The sequence below is a fragment of the Homo sapiens genome, chromosome 15, assembly GCF_000001405.40.
Source record: "Homo sapiens chromosome 15, GRCh38.p14 Primary Assembly".
In the NCBI taxonomy this organism is placed as follows: Eukaryota; Metazoa; Chordata; class Mammalia; order Primates; family Hominidae; genus Homo; species Homo sapiens.
The window spans coordinates 36637082-36663522 of NC_000015.10; the positions used below are offsets into that span (position 1 = coordinate 36637082).

General features: G+C 36.6%; 1 protein-coding gene across 20 annotated transcripts in view, besides 1 other annotated feature; it reads left to right on the forward strand.

Moving 5' to 3' along the window:
* The window catches only part of CDIN1 (CDAN1 interacting nuclease 1), a 230619-nt gene that overhangs the window by 57456 nt on the left and 146722 nt on the right, over positions 1-26441 (forward strand). For 14 of the 20 annotated variants that reach the window (XR_007064491.1, XR_007064492.1, NM_001321761.2 and 11 more), the window contains exons 2-5: positions 7197-7242; positions 8142-8206; positions 17017-17077; positions 20752-20824. Coding sequence is in view for 16 of the 20 variants with exons in the window: in NM_001321761.2 (NP_001308690.1) it covers positions 7197-7242; positions 8142-8206; positions 17017-17077; positions 20752-20824 (245 nt within the window). In the remaining 4 variants the exon portion in view is untranslated. Of the gene's footprint in view, positions 1-3523; positions 3579-7196; positions 7243-8141; positions 8207-17016; positions 17078-20751; positions 20825-21179; positions 21214-26441 lie in introns of those variants that run through there. The other 6 variants (XM_047433174.1, NM_032499.6, NM_001321757.2 and 3 more) reach the window with 5 other exon arrangements.
* Positions 6487-6781: a silencer, noted in NCBI's record as "tiled region #1254; HepG2 Repressive non-DNase unmatched - State 19:H4K20, and K562 Repressive non-DNase unmatched - State 24:Quies". NCBI's record gives its function as "represses a minimal TATA promoter and a strong SV40 promoter by Sharpr-MPRA in HepG2 and K562 cells {active_cell/tissue: HepG2 | K562}" and the evidence as "EXISTENCE:reporter gene assay evidence [ECO:0000049][PMID:27701403]".

Here is a 26441-nt window from a genome sequence, read left to right on the forward strand (position 1 = left end):
ATGTAAAGATAAACATACAACTCAGTGGAACAGATTAGAAAGTCCCAAAATAGATTCTCAGATATTTAACCTCCCAGAGGCACCAACGTGTGTGATCAATTTTATAATTGTATGGAAATAATAAAAACAAACTGTGATCCCCTCCTTAACACACAAAATTAATTGAAGGTAAATCATACACCTAAACGTAAAAGCCGAAACTATTAATCTTCTAGAAAAATATATGAAAATATCTGCATGAATGTGGGTAGGCAAAAATTTCTTAGACAAGACACAAAAAGTACTAAAACAAAATAAAAGAATAAATTGGACTTCATCAACTGAAAAAACTTTTGTACTTCAAAAGGTACCACAAGGAAAATGAAAAGGCAAGCCATGGATTGAGAGAAAGTGTGATGAGGATGTACAGCAATGGGAACTCTTCTGTAGTGTTGGTGGGAGTTTAAAGTCGTTACAAACACTTGAAAAATTGTTTGACAGTATCTGCTGAAGTGGAGAGGTGCATGTCAGATGGCCCAGAATTCTTCTCCTGCATTTATACCCATCAGAAATGCGTGTGAATGTACACCAAGAGACTCACCCAGGAGTGAGTCCACAGTAGTAATATTCAACAATAGAATAGATAAATTTGGCGTATACTCATTCGATAGAATATAAGTGATGAAAATGAATTAACTACACTTAAATTAACATGGCTAACTCTCACAGACATATTGGTGAGTGAAAGAAGCCAGATGCAGAGTGCATGCTGTGTAATCTACTTAATATGAAGTTTACAGACAGGCAAAACTAACCTGTAGAACCTAAGGGACATATTTGGGTGGTAAAACTATCAAGAAAAACTAGGAAAGATCAGAAGTGGCTCATTTGTGAGAGGGAAGGAGGGTAGTGATTGGATGCGTTATCTTTTGGGGTGCTGGCAGTGTTCTGTTTGTTAACCTAAGTGGTTATATTTTTTTAAAAAAATATTCTTTGGGCTGTGCATTTGTTCCACGTGGGTTTTTGTGTTTTATTTCCAATAAAAATAATTTTTAAAAAGGAATATATAATGACATGGATAAATGTTAGTATCTTATATAATGAAAGCATGTTATAAAAAAGTATGTTTAACACACAATTTTTAAATGTATATGTGTGTGTATATAGATACACACAAACAGATTCATACACATCAGACATAGAGCAAAAACACAGGAAAATTATAGTCCAGAATGAATTCTAAGAGTGGACATCTGAATTTTACGCAGAAGATGCACCATTGGATAACTAGGAAACTCTTCATTGAATATTGTTTTATAAAATTAACACTTACAGAGGGCCCCGGCATCCTCTATAGAGAAGATGATTGGATTATTTATATTTGCCTGCCTGGTTCAGGAACAAATTTAAAGCTGCTTTATATTTAATATGAAGTGAATAACATTTGAGCAGAAGACATATGCAATCAGATAGAGACACTTCAGGCAATAGTGGTGGTTAAAATATACCTTTGCTGCAGGGAGAATAATGGAAATTACCACACAGTCTTTTAATCCTTGACTGTTTTCTGCAGTCAGTAGTTCCTTTATCTTTAAAAACATAAAAGAACAACATTTTTTATGAAGTTAAAGAAAAACTGCAATTTGATTTCTTAAAAAGGAAATAATGTCTAAAGCCATGGAATTTGGTCAAAACACTTGACCTCCTGTGCCTTCAATTTTCTAGCAAAAAAGCCACATGCCCCACATTTCAGGGTTGTTTGGAGTATAATGTCACATCATATAAATGCTTAAGCAGGGATATTAGCATACATGATTTGCAGAACTCATTTCTGGGAACTGTTAAGAAGGCAGATTAGCATTGGGATTAAGACTTTGGGCTCTGGAATTGGATATAAATTTTGATTCCCAGGTCTACTGTTCTTCTAGCTGTTTAATTATGTATTTTACTTAACTTCTCTTCCTTCATTTCCCCATCTCTAAAATAAGGAGGATAGCAGTACCTACCTCAGAAGATTGTTGTGGGGATAAAATTAAGTGCAAAGGTAGTTATAGAGCCGTTTGGATTTATCTTCAGTTTCCCAGCAAAAGTAGTTGAAAGCCTGGGGCAGTAACCACTTTTTTCATATATATACAGCTCACCCTCTGTATCCATGGGTTCCACATTGGCATATTCAGCTAACAATGGATTGAAAATATTTGGGGAAAAAAAAAGCAATAAAAGTAACACTACAACAACAAAAAATAATAAAAATAAAAAACCAGGCCCAGCGTGGTGGCTCACGCCTGCAATCCCGGCATTTTGGGAGGCCAAGGTGGGGGATCACTTGAGGTCAGGAATTCAAGACCAGCCTGGCCAACATGGTGAAACCCTGTCTCTACTAAAAATACAAAAATTAGCCGGGCGTGGTGGCAGCTATTCTGGAGGCTGAGACAGGACAATAGCTTGAACCAGGAGGCGGAGGTTGCAGTGAGCCGAGACTGCGCCACTGTACTCCATCCTGGGTGACAGAGCGAGACTCTGTCTCAAAAAAAACTGCCCCCCTCAAAAAAACACAATACAGTATTCACAACTGTTTACACAGCATTTACACTGTAGTAGGTATTATCAGTAATCAAGAGATGATTTAAATTATACCAGAGAATGTGCATGGGTTATATGCAATACTGTGCCATTTTATGTAAGTGACTTGAACATCCACAGATTTTGATTTCCATGAGGGTCCGGAAACCAGTCCCCCCAACAGATACTGACGTTCAATTATATATTTGACCTATAGTTATTAAGAACTTTTTTTTTATAGTTGATTACTACTAAGCTTAATGTTGCCATCTACCTAATCATTTATGGGGATATTTGCTGTGGTTAGGCATAAAATGTTTGCATCCTTGATATGCAGTTGGAAATTAGGAAGAGAAGACATAGGGTGGGAGATAGGATGGATACATTTTTCTTTATGTCTTGAATTTAGTTTACAGATTTTTCCCTTTTCCCCCCTCAGTAATTTCCCAGTGTATCAGTAATCTCCCTCCAGATTTCCATTTTGCATTTTGTTCCTAAAAAATAAGCAAAGTTTGTAGTAGTATTATATCAAAGTTTGTGTAGTATTGTTGAATTCTGTTTTAATTTTAGAGAGAAAAATGGCTCTACATTTCAAATTTGTGTGTGGTATGTGTGTGTGTGGCAGGGGGCGTTGGGGGAGGTCAAGAGATTGTAGCTGCATTGCTTTTATAGAAAATACGCCTTGACCAGCACTCTGAATCATTAACTACAGACAGCTGGTGTTCCATTGTATTCTTCACAGGTTTAGAGAGGTTGTGCCTAGCAATTGTGAGATGTCCAAGTATATCCAAGTATAATGCTTTGTAGGAGTATCCTGCTTTATCTTTCTTTAATTGGTTTGCTTCTTCCCAAGCTCCAGAAATAATATTTATTTTTCTCAGAGAATGTTGAGCCCAGTAGAGTGTACACATTTAAGCTTCCTAGATTCTATAGAAAAGGAGCTTTAAGGTAAAGGTATTTACTTCCTTGTGGTCTTTTTCAGAGATTGCATACTCAAGAAGAGGAGGAACATAAAATACGTGATGTCTTCTCTTAAGGTTCTGCATGCTTTAGCTGTCCATCTGAAAACATAAGGACCTTACCCTTGCATGAATGTTGCATTGCAATTAAGTCTGTGCTCAGCTCTCCTCTTAATCTGTGCTACACTCTCCCAACTCTTTGAGGCTCTTTCATGTTACCGAGTATCTTAGCTGGGTGGACTTGGGAGCACATTTAGTTAAATATCACATGAGGAACTAGTTTGTTGCCTGTTTTTATATCAGGCATTTGAAAAACGTTGAATGCAATATAACATGAGAAGAAATAGTACCCCGTTAATGTTTAAACTCTATATGGGAAAATCACACACCAGTTTAGGATCTCTAGGCACGTCAATTTAGTGAGTCAGGCACAGACAGAGGAAAAATTTTAGGGAAGCCAATTATAGCCATCAGCTAAGGGGAGAACTAGAAATTATGGAAATGGACAATCCCTCTCAAGTGTTCCATCTTGTACATGTGCCACCATTATGGAGCACCTTGTCTCAAAGCCCTTCATCATGCCTCCACCTTACTAGAGAACACAGAAGCCTGGGAAGAGTTTTATTTCTTTGGTTTGGAGATTTAAAAAAATAGACATGTATAATTACACAGAATAAGAATGGAGGCTGGTCAGCTCAATTCCATGGTCTCTTCAGCAGTTCCACAGTGTCCTCAAGGACCCAAGCTCTTTCCATCTTCCGTCTGCCATCCTCACAGTGCTAGTTTTTTCTTCAGGTCTGTTTCCACATTGCTGCAGCATGGCTGTTGCTGTTCTAGACTTGGACAGGGCTTTACCTAGCCATTCTTTGGGTCCACTCACATGCTCTCCTTTACCCAGACAGCTGTAGGGTGCGGAGCTAAAGCTGGGAGATAGCATGGGAAAAATACAAGCAAAACCGTTTTGATGGGGTTTTAATACTACATCCTGGGTATTTGGTACAAATTAAATGACTGCCTTTTTGATTATGTAAATTTAAAACCCCATATATGCTAAGTGATATAAAGTGTAAAGATTCAGGGTATGATTTACTTCATTCTGTATAAAAAAAATGTGAGTACTTGACAGTGTTCTGATTTTTTGCCTTTTTTATGTGTGTACTTTTGTGTGCGTACTTGAAAGTTTCTTCTAAATCAACTCCCGTCCACCTTGTTTAGTTTTTTGATTCTGATGGCATATTTTCCCATACGTGTTACCTTGGGACATTGTAGATGCACTGTGGTACTGTTGAATGTTGGACTGTGATGTTTAAGGTAGACCTTTCAGTTGCACAGAATCTTTCTCCTCTCCTCTTTAGCTGGCAACCACATTTCTTGTGAACCTAGTGAAAGTTGAATTTATTCTGTAACTTCTGTTCCCTTTGGCCGAAACAGATCAAACACGGTGGGACAGTACAGTGGGCGCAGGGTAGAGGTGGTGAGTTCCTAAAAACGATAGCCTTGAGATCATGGGACTCTGATCCTCTCCCCACCTGCCCAGTATTTCCCTCCGGTGTCCCTTCTCAGCATTAACACGTTGGAAGAAAGTACAAATAATATACACTGAAGTCAATGTCTTGGTTGTACTAAAACTACTTTCCTGCTCCTTATGGTGTGACATTTGGTCAGAACACTCTTCTATAAGGTTAGCACATACAGAAACAGATAGTTGGCTGGCAGACTACCTAGCAAAGTTCACTTTATTCTCTACAGCTTTGAATTAGTTAAACAAAACCAAAACATTGTGGACCCGAATCTGTCTTTCTGTTGTTACTATGTATACGTAAGTGGTTTTCTCTTTTTATTAATAGTTCTAGCCAGTTTTTACCCCCAGTGTAAGCTGGCAAAAATCACTCTAACCCTCTCGGCCATAGAAAACTGAGTTGCTTCACAGGCTCTGTCCATGGTTTTAGCTGAATTGAATTCTAAGCAGTTTGAAGACATTTTTCTAGCTAAAGACGTTTTTCTATCCTTGGCTTATACAGTACTCTCAACTCCTGACCAACTTCTCATTTTGAACTATTTATTCTTGAACTTATTTCTCCAACTGCCTCTTCCCATTCTGGGCATCTACAGTTATGTTATGTTTTATTTACAGTTTAGTTTTCTTTTCATTGGTCATTGGTCCCTAACTTTCTCATTACAAATACATTTATTTCTATCATCTTTTTTGAAGCACAAAGAATGACATGTTGTGTACCATTAGATGGTTAATAATATACATGGTTGCTATACAGTGAGGAGGGGGTCTATTTATGGCACATAAATATCTAACATTAATTTATTAAGGGTTTACAAAGATTTGGGCTTCATTTTGCCTCCCTCCCACCCCAGAAGATTATTGTCAGCAACCCTACTAGGGTATGTGATTTGGATGTTAAGCTCGGTCAAGCCAGGCAAAATAGGAAGATTTTATATAAAATTGGCTCTTTCAAAGGGGCTTTTCAGTTTTAAAGGGAAATTGAAAAAAACAGACTATAATGGATTTATTATTGTATTTAATCATTTCTCTGCATTTTTGAGTTATTGAAATATTCTTTTAATAATGTATCAGTTTCCTTGGCAAACATTTAGGGTATTTTTTTCTTAACCTACTCTTGTAATTTGGTAAGGGTGGAAAGTTAGAAACCAAATTTGTAATGTCATCCAGAAGATGACGACACCTAGACAATGAGTAAACAAATATGGTGTCACTTTATTTCACATTCCCCAAATTACCTGTGATGAGCTTAAGAGATTTTTTCATTTATAAATAGAAAAAAATGTATTCACAGTATTTTGGCATACTATAAAAGTCGAATTATCTAAAATGTAATCTAGTCAGATAGCATTTAGTAGGAAAATAGAAATAATTGTTTTCAAGATACGATAAGTTAGACGTGTCTGTAAAGGACAGTCGAAAAGAGTAGCAGTGGGGTATTGATTGCTTTTTAGAGAAAGAAAAATTCCATTCCACTTCTAAATGTTAACAATTGCAAAAGGAAAATTCCCACTTGGGAAGAACATTTTTCAGGTTGCTTCATTGCCAGGTGTTTGACATTGTGTGTTGTCTTAGACGAATAAGGCTTAGGGCAGTCTTTAGGAATGATTCACTCCAAGGACCTCTGCTTCCTGCTGTGAAAGCTTGTATTTTCATAGCACGCCAGTATCGGTGGGAATGTTCCAGTGACCACTGTGCTACTTCTAGTAAAGACCAAAGTTTTCTCCCTGAAACTGGGATACCTGTAGAGGAGAATACCTGTCTGCTAACAAAATTAATTTCAGAACATTCTCAATGAATGAAGTGCATGTTCTCTACTGTTTATGAGACTGAACTGTGTCACTTATTAATGGAGATAAGCCTTGCTTTCTTGTGGTCCCTTTTAACACCATTGCATTCTACAAATATGATTTACAATGATTCTAAAGTTTAAAAAAATCAAAATAATGTGATAGTTGCTTTGAGCCCTATCCATATTTTCCCCTTTCCTTTTTTCTCTCTCCTTGACCCAGCGGCAGGAAGCCTTTGTTTGAGGTGTTCATCTGGAACAACTTTTCCACACTTGTTTTCATGTTCTGTTAGATTACAGGGCAGCAGGCCTACCTTTGAAGCTCCTTTCTCTTTTGTTTCTTTGCCGTGCACTCCAGTAATTAACTTTGTCCTTCTTTTATTTGTTCCAGTCAATCGCAGGCCACTCTGCTGAGCATCTTCTCCCAGGAGTACCAGGTTAGAAGTTTTCTCCTTTGTGAGGGTTGACAGGTGCCTAATTGAATGATGAATGTCCCTTTATTTCTTTGTAATTGAACTGCCAGCTCTCTGATTGGGTTGGAGGATGTTCTCCTTTCCACATCAAGCACCGCCTGCGTCTCGGTGGAGGCCTGCCAAGCCTACCCATCCATCTGTCTAATAACATCTAGCCTTTGCTTATTTGGTGGACCTGTAATAAATTATGCTAAACCATTATTATTCTGACAATAATAATTTCCCTGTGTTGCGTGGTTCCATGTGCTAAATGTTTGCTGACTTGCACTGTCAGTGCTGCTTTCCATTGCTGACAGAGATGATGATAAATGACCATTGCTGGAGTGGCAGAAGGCAAGAGAGGCAGAAAATGGAGTCATTTATCATGAGATGACAGGTGTCAGTCAAGTGGCAAGTCTCTATGGAATTACTTTTTGTAGTTTTCAAATAAGTTGTTTTTAAGCAATGTTCTTCCTGGTTAAAAATGGCAATTGGATTGTAAAACTAGAGTGCAGAGGACTTAGATGGAATTGAATCGAGGGAAAATTAATACAAAGGTTGAAAGAGGGAACAAGTTTTTCTTTGCCCTCTGTAGCCCTAAGCAAACTTATTTAGATTCAATTACTATGACCCTGTTGGCTTTTACATATATACCGTACCTTGTGGTACAGTCTGAAGACATCCCAGCCAAGCAATAGAGATTAAAATGCATAGGATCATAGAGTAGAAGGAAAAGAAGTCCTGCCATCACCACAATTCCCAAGCTGTTATTCAGTGTTCCCTATGTGCTAGTCACTGGGCTCAAGAAATAATGTCATTCTTGTTTTGAACCTCATCTGTGACATATCAAAGATTTTTTTGTGTTGTTGTTTTTTTTCTTTCAGAAACACATTAAAAGAACACATGCCAAACATCATACTTCGGAAGCAATTGAAAGTTATTACCAGAGGTATGACCTTCCTGCCCCACTAGAGGGTATCATAGTACCTATTAATTGTAATAATAATTATGAATAAGTTAGGTTATTAATTTTCTATGTCATATCCCAAGACATTGTGTTTTAAGTATTTTATTCAAAACTTTTAGTATGTTTTTGAATGAGTTTTCAAATGCTTTGTTTTGTAGATCTAAAGAGTATGGTAAGGCTGTCTTGACTTGTGTGTGTGTGTGTGTGTGTGTGTGTGTGTGTGTGTGCCCATACTATGTGAGATGTAGTTATAATATTATGAAATCTCAGTTGGCTACTTGAAACTTATTATAAGTGCATATCCTGTCTAAATGCATATGCTCATATATACATATATCTACATATATTTGAAAGTTCTCAAACTAATTTTCATTTCTTAGATTAGCAAGTTGAAAAAAGAAGATTGAATTTGGATGTCATTTTATTTTGCATCATAGGTATTAGGATATCCATTTTAGAAATGAAAAAAGATGTATCAAGTAAAGGCATTTGGAGATATATTGTAGTGTATAACGGTCACATTTTAAAGGGGATTTTGTATTTTTAAAAGACAACCTTGGGTATTAAATCAACAGCATAGTATCCAGGAGATATTTTAATTTCAGCCTAATTTATTATAAATAAATTTCAACTTCTTGTTCTGAAACAATATTTAAAATAGCTCTGTTTTTTTATTTTAAAATTTGTATTGTCATTGTAATATGACTGAATAATTTATAACACTAAATGGTAATGGTTTGCATTAGAAATTGTTAGTTGGTTTCTTAAATCTTTCAGGGGCACATTGGCAATGAAAACTGTTTGAAATCTGCTCTTAAATTATTATACTTAAGATTGACAGATGAACCTTTCTGTGGTGAGAATGACACCACTGATTTTAGATGAATGATTTTTATGCATAAAAATTTTATGAATGAAATAAATATGTGGATAAAATATTGGTGTCATGTTTCGGTAATCATTTTATTTAGAATCAAGAAAGGGATATTGAACAGGAAAGTCACAGAAGTTAGATTTTTTAAAAAAAATTATTCACTGCTATATGTGGTAAAAGATATGCTTTGTTTTGAGTAGTAATACCTGTCAAAGAAAGATAACATGCACTCATTACACACACACAGACACAGACACATACACACACACAGTTTTGTGTCTAGGAGAGATCCTCTCTAAACAAGACTTTGTAAAGTTTGATGATTTATTCAAAAGTCATAACCTTCTTGGTGAAATTGACATTCAAATTAAAGTCATAGCCTAAATTATACATATGAAATTAAAAATGGCCCATGAAGTGCTGTGAAGCCTGCAACCGTGTTGGCATCCAGACTCTTCAAAGAAGCACTGAAGGTTATTTACATGCCAAAAAATACATTCTTGTTTGTAAACATTATAGTCCTAGGCTGTTATATAAAAGTATGATTTTATGTCTGGATTTTAAAGGCTTGTAATGTATACAAAGGAAAATAGAGCATTTTAAAGGAAAATGTGCTCTTTTCCTGGAAATTCGGAGATCCACTGACAGGTAATGGGGCTGCCTTCTGATACTCATTTGCCTCATTGTAAGGAGGTTGTTTTAGTTATTAATACATGATTTTTAGGATCACTAGGTGCTGCTATTTCAAATCTAAGTTTCATTAAAAAGTATATCTAATTGTTGAAGTATGAACATACTTTTGTTGGATTATCTGGGTAGTATAGGCCATAAATAAATAAATATCTTTTTTTTTTTTTTTTTTGAGACAGTGTCTCTCTCTGTCACCCAGTCTGAGGTGCAGTGGCACGATCATAACTCACTGCAGCCTCAACCTCCTGGCCTCAGGCAATCCTACTGCCTCAGTCTCCTGAGTAGCTGGGACTACAGGTGCACACCACCATGGCCAGCTAATTAAAAAAAAAAGTTTATAGAGACAGGGTCTTGCTACTTTGCCCAGGCTGTTCTTGAACTTCTGGCCTCAAGTAATCTCCCACCTCAGCCTCCCAAAGTGCTGGGATTACACGCCTGAGCCACTGTGCCTGGCCCAGAAATAAATACCTTTAAGTATACCCAATGATGAACAGTTGAGTGGGTAATAATGAGAATACATAAATAGATTTCTTTCAATTTATTTAAATATGACAGTCTCAATTATTTCGAGGAGTTACAGCATTTGAAACAAAAACATGAAGTTAGACCGTAATGGGCAGTCTCAGAAGAAAGCAGTCTGACCACTTTCTGACTTTACCAACCTGCTGTCTGACTTTCTGCCCTGCACTTTGCACTTAGGGACAGGCCATGTTGTTACCTTTCAGATGGATTGACCTCAGTAGCCTTTTGTTGGAAATGTGCAGGTCAAATGTTCCTGTCTGTGCTAAGGTAAATTGGCTTTAAAAGGTTTTTGTTTGTTTTCCAGCAGATTAGAATAAAGCCAAATTGTATTTGTTATATCAAAATATATTTAAGCAATTTGAAAATGTTAATGGCAATTTAATTTAATTTTTTTCTTTTATAAAGTAATACTCAGCTATTGTGAAAATTAAGCATATTTGTGATAGTATTTTTTTTTTTTTTTTTTGAGACGGAGTCTCACTCTGTCGCCCAGGCTGGAGCACAGTGACGCAATCTCGGCTCACTGCAAACTCCGCCTCCCGGGCTCACGCCATTCTCCTGGCTCAGCCTCCTGGGTGGCTGGGACTACAGGTGCCCGCCACCACGCCCGGCTAATTTTTTGTATTTTTAGTAGAGACGGGGTTTCACCGTGTTAGCCAGGATGGTCTCGATCTCCTGACCTTGTGATCCGGCCGCCTCGGCCTCCCAAAGTGCTGGGATTACAGGCGTGAGCCACCGTGCCCGGCTGTGATAGTATTAAAAAGGAATGAATGATTGCCCATAATTGTGCCACTCAGAGATCTCTACTGGCATTTTTCATTTTAGTCTTTTGTCAGCCCATTTTTATATTGATGAGGTCATATTATATAAGCAATTGTGAATCCTGAGTTTTACACCTGGAAAAATGTATATGATATAATATTATTTTGTAAAAAGCGTTTTGTAAACATTTTTTGATTGCCTTATTTCATCATATGAAAGTATCATAATTTACTGAATTATTCCTTTGTCGAGCATATATGTTTCCAATATTCTATTTTTTTTTTTTTTTTTTTTTTGAGACGGAGTCTCCCTCTGTCGCCCAGGCTGGAGTGCAGTGGTGCAATCTCAGCTCACTGCAAGCTCCGCCTCCTGGGTTCACACCACTCTCCTGCCTCAGCCTCCCGAGCAGCTGGGACTATAGGCGCCTGCCACCACACTCGGCTAATTTTTTGTATTTTTAATAGAGACAGGTTTCACCGTGCTTGCCAGGATGGTCTCGATCTCCTGACCTTGTGATCCGCCTGCCTCGGCCTCCCAAAGTGCTGGGATTATAGGTGTGAACCACTGCACCTGGCCTCCAATGTTCTATTATTGTAAATAAAACTGTGATAAACATCTTGATGCATGAGTCTGCTTTTGAATTAGTTTCTTAATATTTCTATATATGTAATTATTGGTGCAAACAATGTGAACATTTTAAAAAAGTATTACATATTGCCAAACTACTGTCTAGAAATGTTTTGCTGGTTGCATATGTTGAACAGGGTGGATCTGCTGTAAATGTATTTGTTTTCCAATCTGTTTCCCAGCTATATCCTGTAACACTTCATAAGTGCTAGGAAAAAAAAAGTTTAATTTGAGGTTGTATTTATCTTTTCTGGAAACTTTAATTATCCCCCACATCAAAGTGACAGATCAGGCTTTATTTAAATTTTCAGATATGTAATCAAAGGGACATACTAATTACTGAAAATATTCCATAAAGACATAATCAGAAAATCCTAATGGTACCTTTCTCTGCATCCTCTTAGTATCCTGTGCAAACTTACAGCATTGCAGTTTTCACACTGGTATAATGGTTTGCTTCTGTCTCCAGCTAGCCTGAAAACTCTTTGGGGTAGGGCTACACAAAAACAAATGAATGATGGACCCTCAGCCAACTCTGGCAAAGATCTGAATTGCAATTGGGATATAAGGATGTCATCCTTAATACTATATTAAGGTGACCTGGGCTCCATTCCTGATGCCTATTTGCCAGTTAAAACAACTTTATACAGAAGCTATATGTCATCATCTAGCTTTGCTACAGGAGGGCTAACAAATACACATCCTATGGGTGAAATCAGCCTTAAAAGGTCCTCAGAGAAGGCCCATTTTATGATGTTTTTTGAGTGTGAAAGACTCATTTATATCTAAGATGAAACTAATGTATACTCATTTCAAATATAAGGCAAAGTTCTCCATGCTGTGGCCTAAGATGATCCACAACCCTGTCACTGAGTGTCTTCTCTCAGCTTGGAACACCTTCTGCTTCCCTACAAACTAGTAAAGATGATAAGTTTATTTCTAGACTACTGCATAAACAAGTTGCCCCGGACACCCCGAATCGATAATTCTTGGAACTCCCACAGCACTCTGTATAGACATACCTCTGTTAGCACTTCTCTTGCTGCATTTTACATACTTACATACACAGCTCTTTTCCCACCAAAAAGGACAGTGGAAGGCAGGTACTGTGTCTTATATATGTATTGTTGGTTTTTAGCATTGTAAATGGGGCATAATGAGTGTAAAGCAGATGGTGCTAATTGAACAAAAAAGTGGTCCAAATTTTCAGAAACTATTTTTATCACATATGTTACCAGTATCATATTTAAGCCAACCTTTTTTACATGTGAACATCTGAATAAAGTTCTGTAGATCTGATCTTCTAACGCTGCTAAAGCTGGCTCCTCCGCCAGTGTGCTGGGAGAAGGGAGGAAATGGAGACAATATTTCTAAACTTTGCTATTGATGGGGACTTGCAGATCTGACCAACTGTGTGCATGTGCACTTATGCTCATGTGCACCAATTTAGGCGGACCTAAACAAATTTCACCAAGAATCTTTCCTGTTTAGAAATAAAATGGCGTTAGTACAGTGTGAAAGAATAGAGATATTTTCAAAGTAAACTCTCGAGCTGTGTCTATTTATATACAACATGGAGAATTGAGGAAATTTCTTCAATAATTCAAAAGCTTGAGAAAATTTTTATTTATTTATTTATTTATTTATTTATTTATTTATTTATTTATTTATTTATTATTTGAGACAGAACCTTTCTCTGTCACTCAGGCTGCAGTGCAGTGGTGCAATCTTGGCTCACTGCAAACTCCACCTCCCAGGTTCAAGAGATTTTTGTGCCTCAGCCTCCTGAGTAGTTGGGACTACAGGCACGCGCCACCATGCTGGGCTAATTTTTGTGCTTTTAGTAGAGACAAGGTTTCACCATGCTGTGCAGGGAGGTCTCAAACTCCTGGCCTCAAATGATCCACCCGCCTTGGCCTCCCAAAGTGCTGGGATTACAGGTCTGAGCCACCGTGCCCAGCCAGAAAACATTTTCTACTATCTGGATATCATAAGATTTCTGTTAACCATGATGAAATCATGTAAAATACAGATTTTGATGGGAGGCAGAGGCAAGCGGATCACCTGAGATCAGGATTTCGAGACCAGCTTAGCCAACATGGCAAAACCCTATCTCTACTAAAAGCACAAAAACTAGCCAGGTGTGGTGGCACGCTCCTGTAGTCTCAGCTACTTGGGAGACTGAGGCAGGAGAATTGCTTGAACCCAGGAGGCGAAGGTTGCAGTGAGCCGAGATTGCACCACTGCACTCCAGCCTGGGTGACAGAGCAAGACTTCATCTCAAAAAAAAAATAAAAAAAAATACAGTCTTTGAATTCTTAGTTGGTATCAACTCAATGCTAGCAAGAATGCAGAGACACATGAATTCTCCTGGGCATTAGGAATGGAGCCCACGTCACCTTAATGTAGTATTGAGAATGACATCTGTATATCCCAGTTGCAATTTGGATGTTTGCCAGGGTTGGATGAAGGTTCAACATTCATTTGTGTAGCCCTACCCCAAAGAGCATTCAGGGTAACTGGAGACAGAAGCAAACCATTATACCAGTGTGAAAAGTGCAATGCTATAAGTTTGCACAAGATCATGATGAGGATGCAGAGAAAGGTACCATTAGGATTTTCTAATTATGTCTTTATGGAATATTTTCAGTAATTAGTATGTCCCTTTGATTACATATCTGAAAATTTAAATAGAGCCTGATCTGTCACTTTGATGTGGGGGATAATTAAAGTTTCCAGAAAAGACAAATATAACCTTAAATTAAACTTAATTTTTTTTCCTACCACTTATGAGGTGCTACAGGTATAGTTGGGAAACAGATTGGAAAACAAATAAATTTAGAGCAGATCCACCATGTTCAATGTATGTGGCACCTCACTAGGCCTCGAGGGATCAGGGTTCTATTTCAGGGTTCTATAGCTTTATTGTTTACCAGCTAAGAGAGCCCAGATGGGTTTTATCAGTGCCCTGGGGTTTGGTTTCTTTATATGACCAACTGGGAAGCTTTAACAACCTCATAATTAGGAATTTCCACAGTATTAAGTATGGTCATGCTTTTAATATTATCCAGACTATATAGATACAGAGGATTGTAGTTATGGTTTAATCATCTTCTGTTTCTTTAAACTTGATAGAAGTTCTTCACTGGTCATTAGCAGGATAATGATTGATGCAACTTTTACATGAAGCCATGTCATTTTGACTTAAAGCAACAGATCTCTGGTATAAAAGGTAGTCTGGCATCTAGCTGCTACTCTTTCACTGTTTGCAGTCAGCTCTCACCATGGCATGCTCCTTCTTTTCATGCTGATCTCTACTCGAGTGTCACTCCCTCAGAGAGGGGCTTCCTGAACAACCCATCTAAGTTTACATTTTATTCTAGCATATACCATTATACTGTATATTTATCTCCCTGCCTTTTTATTGTTTGTGTCACCACTGTAATATAATCTCTGTGATGATGGGACCATGAATGGTTTTTTTTCCTGCTGTTGCTTCTTCAGAACCTGGAATAAGGCCTGACACATAGCGCTCCAAAATACTTGTCGGGTAACTGAAACTGAAGTAGAAAGCTGTAAAGATATCCCAATATTGGTATAGGCTTAAATACGCTGACCCAGAATCAGAAACCATAGTAAATACGCACTCTTGGTGGTTACAGGCACACAATCAGCTGGTCTGACTTGACTGAACTGATTGCTGGTTCCTTGGGTGGTATCAGTGCAGTGGCCTTGTTTGTGAGAAATTGATGTGAGGTTCTTAACGGACCTGTTTCCCAGGGACCTTTCTCTAAAGCACATTTGCCTTGTTTTATTTATTTATTTTTTCCTCTTGCTTCTGAACGTCCTTATTTTCCAATTGGTTTCCCAAATAATACATTCAAGGGTGGCCCCAATATGTGGAAAATTGCTTTGTTAGAATTATTTTGAAGTTACAATGATCCAGAGGTTCTCCCCACCTTAAATAATTTGCTGTTACCCCACTTTGCTTACAGGAAAATTATACAACTTTATAAATATACTCATGAAATAATATAATTTAGTACCTACTTCTGGCAGTTATATGGAAGACCTCACCTGTTGACTTTATTACTGTCAGACAAATACCCAGAGCTTATTCACTTAAATAATATACTGTAGGGAAAATTTCCATACCTAATTCTGCTTTCTTGTCCAATATGGTTTTTAAAAATTATTTAATTTTTCATTTGTTAAAGGAAAAGTATAAGGTGATTTTTTATTATATAATCACCTACTATAAACAAAGTACTTGGTAGGCATAATAAATTAAATAAAATACAATTCTCCAACCTTCATGAAGCTTTCAACATTACAGTGGGGGATGGGTTTGAGGTAGCCAAGTAATAGGCAAATACAATATGCTACGTTACATGATAGAAAGATGTACAGGGTATTCCTCGATTGCATATGAGGAGCACTTAACTTATATGGTAGTGGATCGAAGAAGGTGACATCTGAATTGAATCATGAGTTATCCAGGTGAGGGATGGGAGCGGGAGACAGTGACTAGAGATGAGGCTGGCAGAGTAGAGTAGGTAGAAACCAGATTATGAAGAACCTTACAAGAGCTGTTAAATGGTTATAATTTAATCTTGAGATTTAATGTGGGGCCTTGAAGTGTTATAACAAGGGGAATGACACATTCAAATTTTTGTAAAAAAAAAAAAAATCCCCCCAGCTTCCATGTCTGGGGTTTTGTTTTGTTTGGGGATTTTGGGGAGTTGTGTGTTTTTTTCCAGTGGAGTGAGAGGATAATGAGAGCTGGAGGTTCTTCCACAAATCTAGGGCAGATAAGGTGATGGCTTGTATTGCCTGTCACAGGTGTGCTGACCCACTGATGACATGTCTGTTCCATCGTTTTCTTAATAAGGTGTCAAGCAGCCCTGTGAAACAGGTAAAGGAAAAGGCAAGATGGGTGCATGAATGCTTTTCTCAAACTATATAAGTCAACTTCTTTCCTTTCCATGCAATGGTTGTCTGTGGTAGAGACAAGGCAGAGTGATATGGATAGTTCCTCTTGTTCACTTTATATGGTAGGAGGTGAAAGAAAACAAGGGAGACCTAAGTATTTACACCTTCTGCCCCCACCTTCAGCTTCTTAGTTGCCAGTGGTTTTGAGGTGAGTTGTTTGTGTTATGTTTTTCCCTTCAGTGCTTTCCTATGAAAGTAGCTTACTTTAACTAGAGTTGAGCGTGGCATTTGTCCAGGAGAAACATGTATACACACAGGGGATGCTGACAAGTCTATGCTGGCCTTTTCTTGTCACTGCATTACCACTTGGCTTTGTCTTGTCTAGGTACCTGAATGGAGTGGTGAAAAATGGAGCTGCCCCAGTGCTCCTGGACCTGGCCAATGAGGTAATGTTATTGTTATGATTTTATTTAAACCTGCGTGTAACCTAAGGGGCCTATCTAGAGTAACTTTGCTTACAATTATAACTACCTTTGGAAAAAAAAAGGATTTGAGGTGCATTAGACATTTAAATTGCTCCCTGATCTCTTTGTACTTTTAGTAATTGGACAAAGAACTTCACATATTAATAAATCAGTTGACATAATTAGTCTACTTCTTTTAAGGCAAATGTATAAACAGCCTCTTGGTTTCTTATTTTGTGGAAAATTTCAACCAAACAGCTCAGGACATGCTTTTCTTAGGATAGGTTGTCTTAATTTAGTGTGAGAAATACCTGTGTCAAGTAAAGAGATGGATGCCAAAAAAAAAAAAAAAAAAACTGCTGTTATAAAAATGAAGAGAGAAATTGTATACTTAAAGATGTACTTGATTCATTTTTTTGTTAGCAAACTTTTATTATAATAAAGGATACATGCCTTGTAGAAAAGTCTCCTTCTTTATATGAAGAAGCATAGTGTTCTTAATAACACCAAGTAAGAAGTGATTTATTGAACTTATTCGTTAACTCTGATCTGCTTCTGTTTGGGGAAACAAATAACAGCCTTACATTTAAAAAGGGAAACCCTACAGATTTCCCATGAATGAAGAAGCTGTGAAAAGTTCATAATAGTTGCAGAGAGCATACCAAAAAAATAAAATATTTAATTCCTAAACTTTAAAATATTTATCCACTGTAATAAGAGCAATACAATATTTAGTCTGACTTGGAACTGCTTATGCAAACCTCGTAGGGATGGAATGAAATGTACACTGTTTTTGCGTTGCATTATAATGGAAAACATAGAAGCAAGGCAGAAAATGTGTGTTTGCATTAAAGATGACTCGGTACTGTGAGCATTAAGTGTTGCAGTAGCAGCAAGTTCTACATGTTATATTAGCAAGGAAGGATGGCTTCCCTCACAGCTTCTGTCTGCTGCTATACACTGCTGCAGTCAACAAATGAGCAATTACCTATCAGTTACTAGATGGTTTTAATAGTCTAAGCAATGTCTACACAATCAGATAGGATAGTTAACATATAGAATGAATTTCTGTGCGCCTCCTAGGAAAACAAGTATTTTATTCTTTTTTTGTTTTTTCCATTTCTAGAGCAGAGTGCTTTTTTTTTTTTGCTTTTTTTTTTTCTTTTTTTGAGACAGAGTCTCACTCTGTTGCCAGGCTGGAGTGCAGTGGCGTGATCTTAGCTCATTGCAACCTCTGCCTCCCGGGTTCAAGAGATTCTCCTGCTTCAGCCTCCTGAGTTGCTGGGACCACAGGCCTGTGCCACCATGCCCAGCTAATTTTTGTATTTTTAGCAGAGACGGGGTTTCATCATGTTGGCCAGGATGGTCTTGATCTCCTGACCTTGTGGTCCACCTGCTTTGGCCTCCCAAAGTGCTTGGATTACAGGCGTGAGCCACCACGCCCGGCCAGCAGGCTGGTTTTTAAATGTATCTAGACTTGTTTGTTACAAGTTTATGCTATTAGTAACTTGAGGTATCTGAGCTTTAACTAGGAATTTAGTGATTGTCTTTTATGAAAAAGAAGAATAAGCTAGCAGCATTCCAGACACAGCATCTAGAAAGAATGTGATGCAAATATGGTACCCATCTATATAGATGATGATGTTGATTATATAAGTTTTATATCATAGCAATTTATATTCATTTGAATTTTTAATGGATAGTTCTATATCCATTAAATATTTAGCTGACCTCAGTTTCAGTCTTCTAGTAATATGGAAAAATTTAACCTACCAACACATTTTCTCCTACATCAATAAACCTTTTATTTACCATGAATATATAGCAGTATTTAGCCAAGAGAAAACGTAGTTGTTTAAAGACTTTTCCTCCGTTTTGGCTACAGACTAGTACAGAAAGAATAGCACTTTTCTATGAAATTGATAATGCATTAGGGAAATTTAGGAATGGCTGGTACCATATTATAGCTTCTAAACAACCAAGGTGCCATTTTTTCCAGATAGGTAATACTTAGATAACATACACTTGCATCTGGTGACAATTGATGTGATGGTAATACTTTATGAGCTGATATTTATTTAATCAGGGGAAACTATAAAAATTGATGAGAAATATATAGCATTGGTACATTACAGGGTGCAGCAACTCTCTTAGACAAGAGCATTGTATTTTTATTATCTTTTTGGGGGGCTAAGGGCTGTATGTGGTCATCATTGATTTTATAAATGTCTTCATACTACTTTTCCAGTTTCAAGTCTAAAATTGAACATTTTAGCAATTCACACTTCGTTAGTGATAATAAGATCAGTCATTCTGTTCTCTCCACACAAATATTTTCAAGTGAGATTTGAAGCACTATGCATTTTATTTACATGCTAAATTCTGACATGAAGCATGATGGCCCTATTTCAGAGAAAGATGGACACATGATTAATATGAAAATTAGGGAGATGCAAGTACCTGAACTAATAAGGTAGTCCTTATTCAGGCTGGACTACCTTCAGTAATTTCACCATTTTTCATGTGTCAGCTCTGATGTGGGTTACTAGGAATAAGCAGCTTCGTGGAAAGCATTTCTTTCTACTTGGGGAATTTAAGGGCATCCAAGTACATACGTATTTGAAAAAACTGTTCATACAAATGAAGCCAGCCTTTTTGTCTAGTTACTAAATCAAGATAAAATTTTGGTATGAATACGGGACTTGAAAACCTGTCAGGAAAAATTCATGGTGATAATATATGAGGAATGTTTGCTGTCTTCCACCTAAGATAAAAAGACTCGTTTTAGGGAAGCATTATTGTTCTTAAAAATGTGTGTTCCTATTTTTTGGTGAAATTAAGTAAATGGTTAATAAAAGATTTAAGAACCCCAAAGAAGACAATATCTTTACAAAATAGTAGATACATTTTTTATTAATTAAAATGACTGTCGGACTGAATATCCTTTGTTTTCTGACTGGTTCTTTATTTTAAAAAGTTACCACCCTGGGATCTGTATTAATTAAATTGGTAAGTAGTGTTTCAGATAAGGACGGTGATCTTATGTTGCAGATATTATATTGTTGTAATTTATTATTAACATCTCTGCAATGTAGTTGTCTTTTATCAAATAAAATATTTTAAATGTAAGGAATTTATACCAAAATTTCAGTTGTCTTTAAAGATAAAATCAGTAAAATCCTTATTTGGATTTGTCATATAAGGACATTTGACTCTGTTTTTGAAAACTGTCACTAAATAACAAAAAGGGCTTATTATTTGAAATTGCATTCAGAACAGTATAAATATAGACAGTTGCATAGAAAGAAGCATGGCTTGAATAAAAAATTATATTGGCCTACCAACAGAAAAAATTGAGGAGAGATGAAAAAAGCCTATTTCACTGTTTTAGACGAATGCTTTTTCTAAGTTGTTCCATCCTTTTTGCTCCAATGTTATATTCAATAAATTTGACCCATTTATTCTTTTCAACAGCCCAAACCATACTTGTTATAATTTTATTATAATGGAAGCCACCAAGGGTGGGAAAGATTTTAATGAATGATGCTTGCTATGGTTGATTAAAATTGACTTATTCTTCAGTGTTGACAAAATACTGGAGTATCCACTGCTCGCACAACTTGATAGTTTTAATTTTCTACTTCTGTTTTATAAAGGTGGACTATGCGCCCTCATTAATGGCTCGGCTTATACTGGAGAGGTTTCTACAGGAACACGAGGAAACTCCACGTGAGTTACCCTTTTTTCCTAATGGTACTCTTTTACTCCCTTCCCCAATTTAAAAATAATTTACACAGCATTTCAAGTCACTTAATGAGAGCCAGATTCCAAAACAGCTATCATGAACAGTTAATGACAATTAAATGCAATATAAAAGACCACCCACAACTTAAATACTCTTCAGAATAATGCTCTCTTCTTTGTCTAAATTCCACACTCAACCTCTCCATTGAGCTAAATAGACAATGTGTATCAAACTAAAAAATTGATTCATCTTCGTATATAGAATAAGATACATCATTTGAAAAACCATTGTCAGGAACTGGCTCTAAAAGAAACATTCATCCTTTTTATTTTAATTCAGCAAGACCGGAGAAATACTACTTCCAAATGCAAAGGTGAATTCCACTGGTCTTCCTACAAGAAAATAAAAAAGAAAAAAAGAAAAGAATAGAGCTACAGAAGGAGGTTCAAGCCTAAATTAATTTGCCACTGAAAAAATACATTTTGTTATTTTCTCTGTGTCAACTGCATGATTAAAACCGGCTGTTAAGTGAGCTCTGGGGATGTGCTCGTAAAAGATTTATGAGTAATATTCAATGTGATATTCAAAGTGAGTCATGAATATCAGGATAATTGCTCTCAGTGCTGGCTCTTTTACTAGGCAGGAGTTTGTCAACTGCCCCATAAATATTTGCCTAGTCTCATGTAAAAAAGACAATTTCATCTTCTGCATTTTTATTACCTAGTATAATGTTTACCTTTGGAGCTCAGCTGTGGTAGAATAGGTAAAAAGCTTTGGAATATGCTTTATGCACATAATCTTCCCTCTTTGAAAGTAGAAGATAATACCTGCTAAAACATCATTCAGTAGTACATGTTGGATTTTTATTTTTTTATATTTTGTCAGGGATTTTTTCCCTTTGATTTTCTTTGAATCTGCAGTTACCAGTGACTGGTGGCCCAGTTACCTTGTGAAGGTTTCATTTGAATGAATTAAGTACTTCCCCTAAAAATTCAATATCATTTCAATAGATGTAGCCTCCAAAGTAACCTGCAGTGATGCTTCATGAGCAAATCACATGATGTCAGAATGGTATGGTTTCGATTTAATCAAGAAAGAGATTAAAGTGGATGTGTGTTATTTTCAACTTCGCAGCAGCACCGCCATTTGTCAAAGTCAACCTTCTGATTGCTTTGGACCTACTGCTATCCAGGTCTTGTCAAAATAGTAGTCAGCATAGTCTGAAGCAGGTAGACTGGCCTATATAGAGCAGTATCAAACACAGTAAAACAGAATTCATTGACTTGTGAATTATGAAGTTAATAGGTTGATCATAAATTTTGTAGCCATTAATTTATCTTTATAACACTGGCACATCTTCAGTACATTTTTCTTTTTATTTTGTACCATTTTATACAGCAGAGTTAAATAGTACTGAATATAATTTTGATGTGTACTGTATATCAGAATCCTATAATTCCAATGCTAGGATTAAATGTCTTGCATGAATACACTGGAGAAGGACATGAGCATATTTAGAAACATACCAAGGAAAGGGTATTTCAAGAATGTGGCTGCTTGGAAAGGAGGCGAATGTAAATATTGTATGCTTGAATTACACTATGATTATGTATAATCAAATAACAGTATTTTGAAGCTTTTTCTTTTATAATTGGTTGGGTTAATGGTTGTTTCACTGTGAGTTGTTACAGAGTCAGGTTTTGTTTTTTTTTTTTTTTCCTGAGTAAAATCATGACAGATATTTGATGTTATTTTTAATCATCATACTAGGCTATTGTGAAGGCACCATTTTAACTCCCTATTTGCCAGTAGGCTGACTGCCAGTCAAAAATGCTGTATTAAAATATTTCTCTGGACAGAAAATGGTTTCAAAAATCTTTTATGATTATATGACAAACCATAATTGAGGGTTTATCATTTCAAAAAGTGACAGAAAATGTTAAAATTAATGCCAGGTTATAGAAGTCAATTAATTTGCTGATGGTGCTAGGTTATCTTCCTTTCTTTTCTTCGTCTTTTTCATTCTCTCTTTTTCCTTCCTTTTCTTTTTTTTTTTTTTTTTTCTTAAAGAACTTTAAGTTACTGTGGCTTATATTCTGACACTTTCTTCCCCTTCAGAGCATGGGCCTGGCTGGCCTTTGGCAATGAAATTCAATGCACATGGCTCCGCAGTCAAATCATCAAATTTCCCTGTGTGTATATTAGAGTTTTGTAATGTGTTTCCATTATGAAACAATGCGGGGATAATTGTCTTTGGTAGCAATTAGCTAACAGGTTTGTTCAGTGCTATTGGCAGAGGCATCCATCACCCCCTTCCCTGACCACACTTTTTGTCTAGTGTGGACTATGGAGATCAATAGAATTCTATATAGGGGAAATCACCTCAGCTTTAATGAGCTGCAAGTCTCAGTCTTGGCTTGTATTTTTAATTTTTTCCTCTTAAAACTAGAAATCAGGCAAAAAAATCCTATTCTTTTGGGGGTGGATTGTACTGTGTATTTACTATTACTTTCATTAGATCAATGCTCAGTTTTAAATTGTTTTTACTTCTGTAAAAAGGTATAGCTAATAGCATGGGACATATAAGCCATGTAATTTTGATAACATATACTTTAGGAATATCCACTTTAAGGAGTACTGTTGGGTTTCTCACGCGATAATTTTTAGGGTATGATATATACATTCTGTCTAGTGTCTCAGTAGTTAAAAAGAAACCTGAGTGGCTCTTGTGATGACAAACAATTTTGTTGTACACATTTTGTTATTGCCCCTGATTAAATAATGTTCTATAGCCTTTTAGACTACTTTTGTGTTGTACTGTTGCTTAGCCTCACAACAAAACTAGTGTACTGATAGGATACGTATTTTGAGTTGAGCTCTGCAGGGACTGAGTATAAGTGCCTTGGCCATCATCCTATGATTATTACTACATAAAGCTGGTCCTAGAACCCAGATTCCAAGTTTTATCTGTTCAATTGAATTATTTTTCTTCCTCCCAAATTAGACATGAGGAAGTTTATCCATGTTGTGCCATTTTCTCTTCCTCATGAAATCTGAAGTGAGGCTGTTCTGGGAGAGAATAGCATCTCTGGTTTTCTGTGGCCTCGGAATCACCCAGGGAGGTGGGTGGAGCATGTGAGGCCAGTGTACAGGTGAGTTGTAAATGGAGTGGTAGCAAAGGGTGTGAAGTGGATGGCAGTGCTGGTGCTCACACTCAAGGCTTCCAGCTCCTTGTCAACAACTCTTTTTATTGCATTACACTGAATAAAGTAGCAGTTAGAATAATTGTTGGGGAAATGCTTTTAGACTAGCATTGCAGGTTTTCCTGTCACATCACAGACCTGGGTAAAAGCAGGAGATAAAGAGCTCTTCACTCATCATGCCATCAATCCAAGTGATTGAACCCTACCCCACTCAGTAGCCTTTCTTCCTAGCAGAGGATATTACCAACAACATTATGATTAATAATAAGTAATAGGGAGACTCTGTTTGGATGTGTTTTTTTTTTAAAGTCAGTCGTTATATTTTTAACAAATCATTTAAGTGTCAAAGTATCAAAATACATATTTTTCTGTTTTATACCGTGTTTTCTAATTGCATTGAGAGTATAATTGGAAAGTGCTGACCAGTTACAGACTGAGTTGCTTAAGGAAGGCTAAATTTTACTCCCATGTTTTATAGTCTACCCCTGGGATCACCTTTCCATCTTAACTTTTACAAGAATGCTAGTGATTTTACCTGTTTTTTTGTTATTGTTCAATGCTCCCTGATTTTAGCACAGGTCCTGCTCCCTATTAACTTTCAAATGTTAAATGTGTGAGTGAGTGATGAGTAAATGAGTAAGTTTCACACTAATAATGGTGACTTTCTACTAGGAGCATTATAGAAAATCTCTGTTAATGAAAACTCTAAGTATAGAAAACTGTTAATGAAAATTTTATGAGTAGACATGATAATGGAAATATCCTTAAACAGGATAAAATTGTCTAAATGTTCAGTCCTTTTATGAAAATCAATCCTCTATAACTTATAAGGTGAACACTATTATTAATAGGGAGGTTGACATTATAATAAAATTGTAAATCGACCATGTTTACTGCTACTGAGTCTGAATATAAGGCAGATTAAAATTTCTGAAGAACCATTGAGAAAATACCTCAATCCTCATTATAAACTGATGTTTTTGCTTATGTCCTGGAGATTTTATACAGCTTACCTTTGCTTTCTTTCATGTTGCTGTTTAATCTTTCTGGCTTTGGGATAGACCGAGGTTAATAGTCACATCATTTGAAACTGAGCCATACAGTTGAATGTAATTTGCCGTAAAGATGAATGTTTTGTAGAGTTCCTCTTTATTTTCTTAAGGGAATGTGCTTTTCAACATAATGTGTATAATCCCTGCCTCCACACACACACCAGAATGGGATTATGATTTCCCTGATGGGATTACTAAATTTTGTTCTTACTTTTTGAATGAGCTTAATTTTAGTTTTCAAACAAACTGGTTTATACCTTTTGCCAGTATGCTAGGCCATCAAAAGATGGTACAATCATCTTCAAAACCTGAGTTTCAGTATGCTAGGCCATCAAAAGATGGTACAATCATCTTCAAAACCTGAGTTTAATAGAAGAAAGTATGAGAAGGCATCCAGTAGGTGTTTAGATCTGATTAGACTTTGAGTGGTCCCTTTCTAACAATAAGAGGATATTAATTCCTTTGGAATTCATGTTCTTCATTCCTCTGCAGATTGTCAAGAGCTATTTGAATCCTAACTATATTCCAGGCACTATGTTAGGTGCTACAGTGGATGGAAGAAAGGATAAAACTCATCAAAGAACTCATAGTTTAGTGGAATGTATCATGTGTGTACGTAACACAAATCGAGTATCCCTTATCTGAAATGTCTGGGACCAGAAGTGTTTCAGATTTTAGTTTTTTTTTTTTTTTTTTTGGATTTGAAATATTTTCATTATACTTACTGGATGAGCATCCAAAATCCAAAATCCAAAATGCTCCAATGAGCATTTCCTTTGAAATGCTCAAAACGTTTATGGAGCATTTCAGATTTCAGATTTTTGAATTTGGGATGCCCAACTTATGATCCTGTCTGTGCCTTTAGAGGTAAAAACATCTCTTTGAAAGGAATCAAAGAAGAGATGTGTTCTAGTTTGTAGAATTAGAGGAAGCCTCATGGATTGAGGCTTCAAGAGAAGACAATTTAAGACAGAGAACTCTATGAACAAAGAAAGTTTGTATGTACAATCTTAGTGGGAATTAAAGTTGGACAAATTCAGATGGGGTTATATGATGGAAGATACTGAAATCCAGACCTAGGTATTTATATTTAAATTAACAGGGAATGGGAAGCCACTGTTGGTTCTGAATAGCAGAGTGACTTGATGAGAGCTTTTATTTAGTTTTTTATGACAGTGCTTTTCAACAAGACAGATACGGAAGATATCTGAAATGGTGTGGCTGTATCTCCACCAAATCTCATCTTGTAGTTCCCCGTAATCCCCACGTGTTGTGGAAGGGACCCAGTAGGAGGTAATTGAATCATGGGGGGCGGTTACCCCCATGCTTTTGTTCTTGTAATAGTG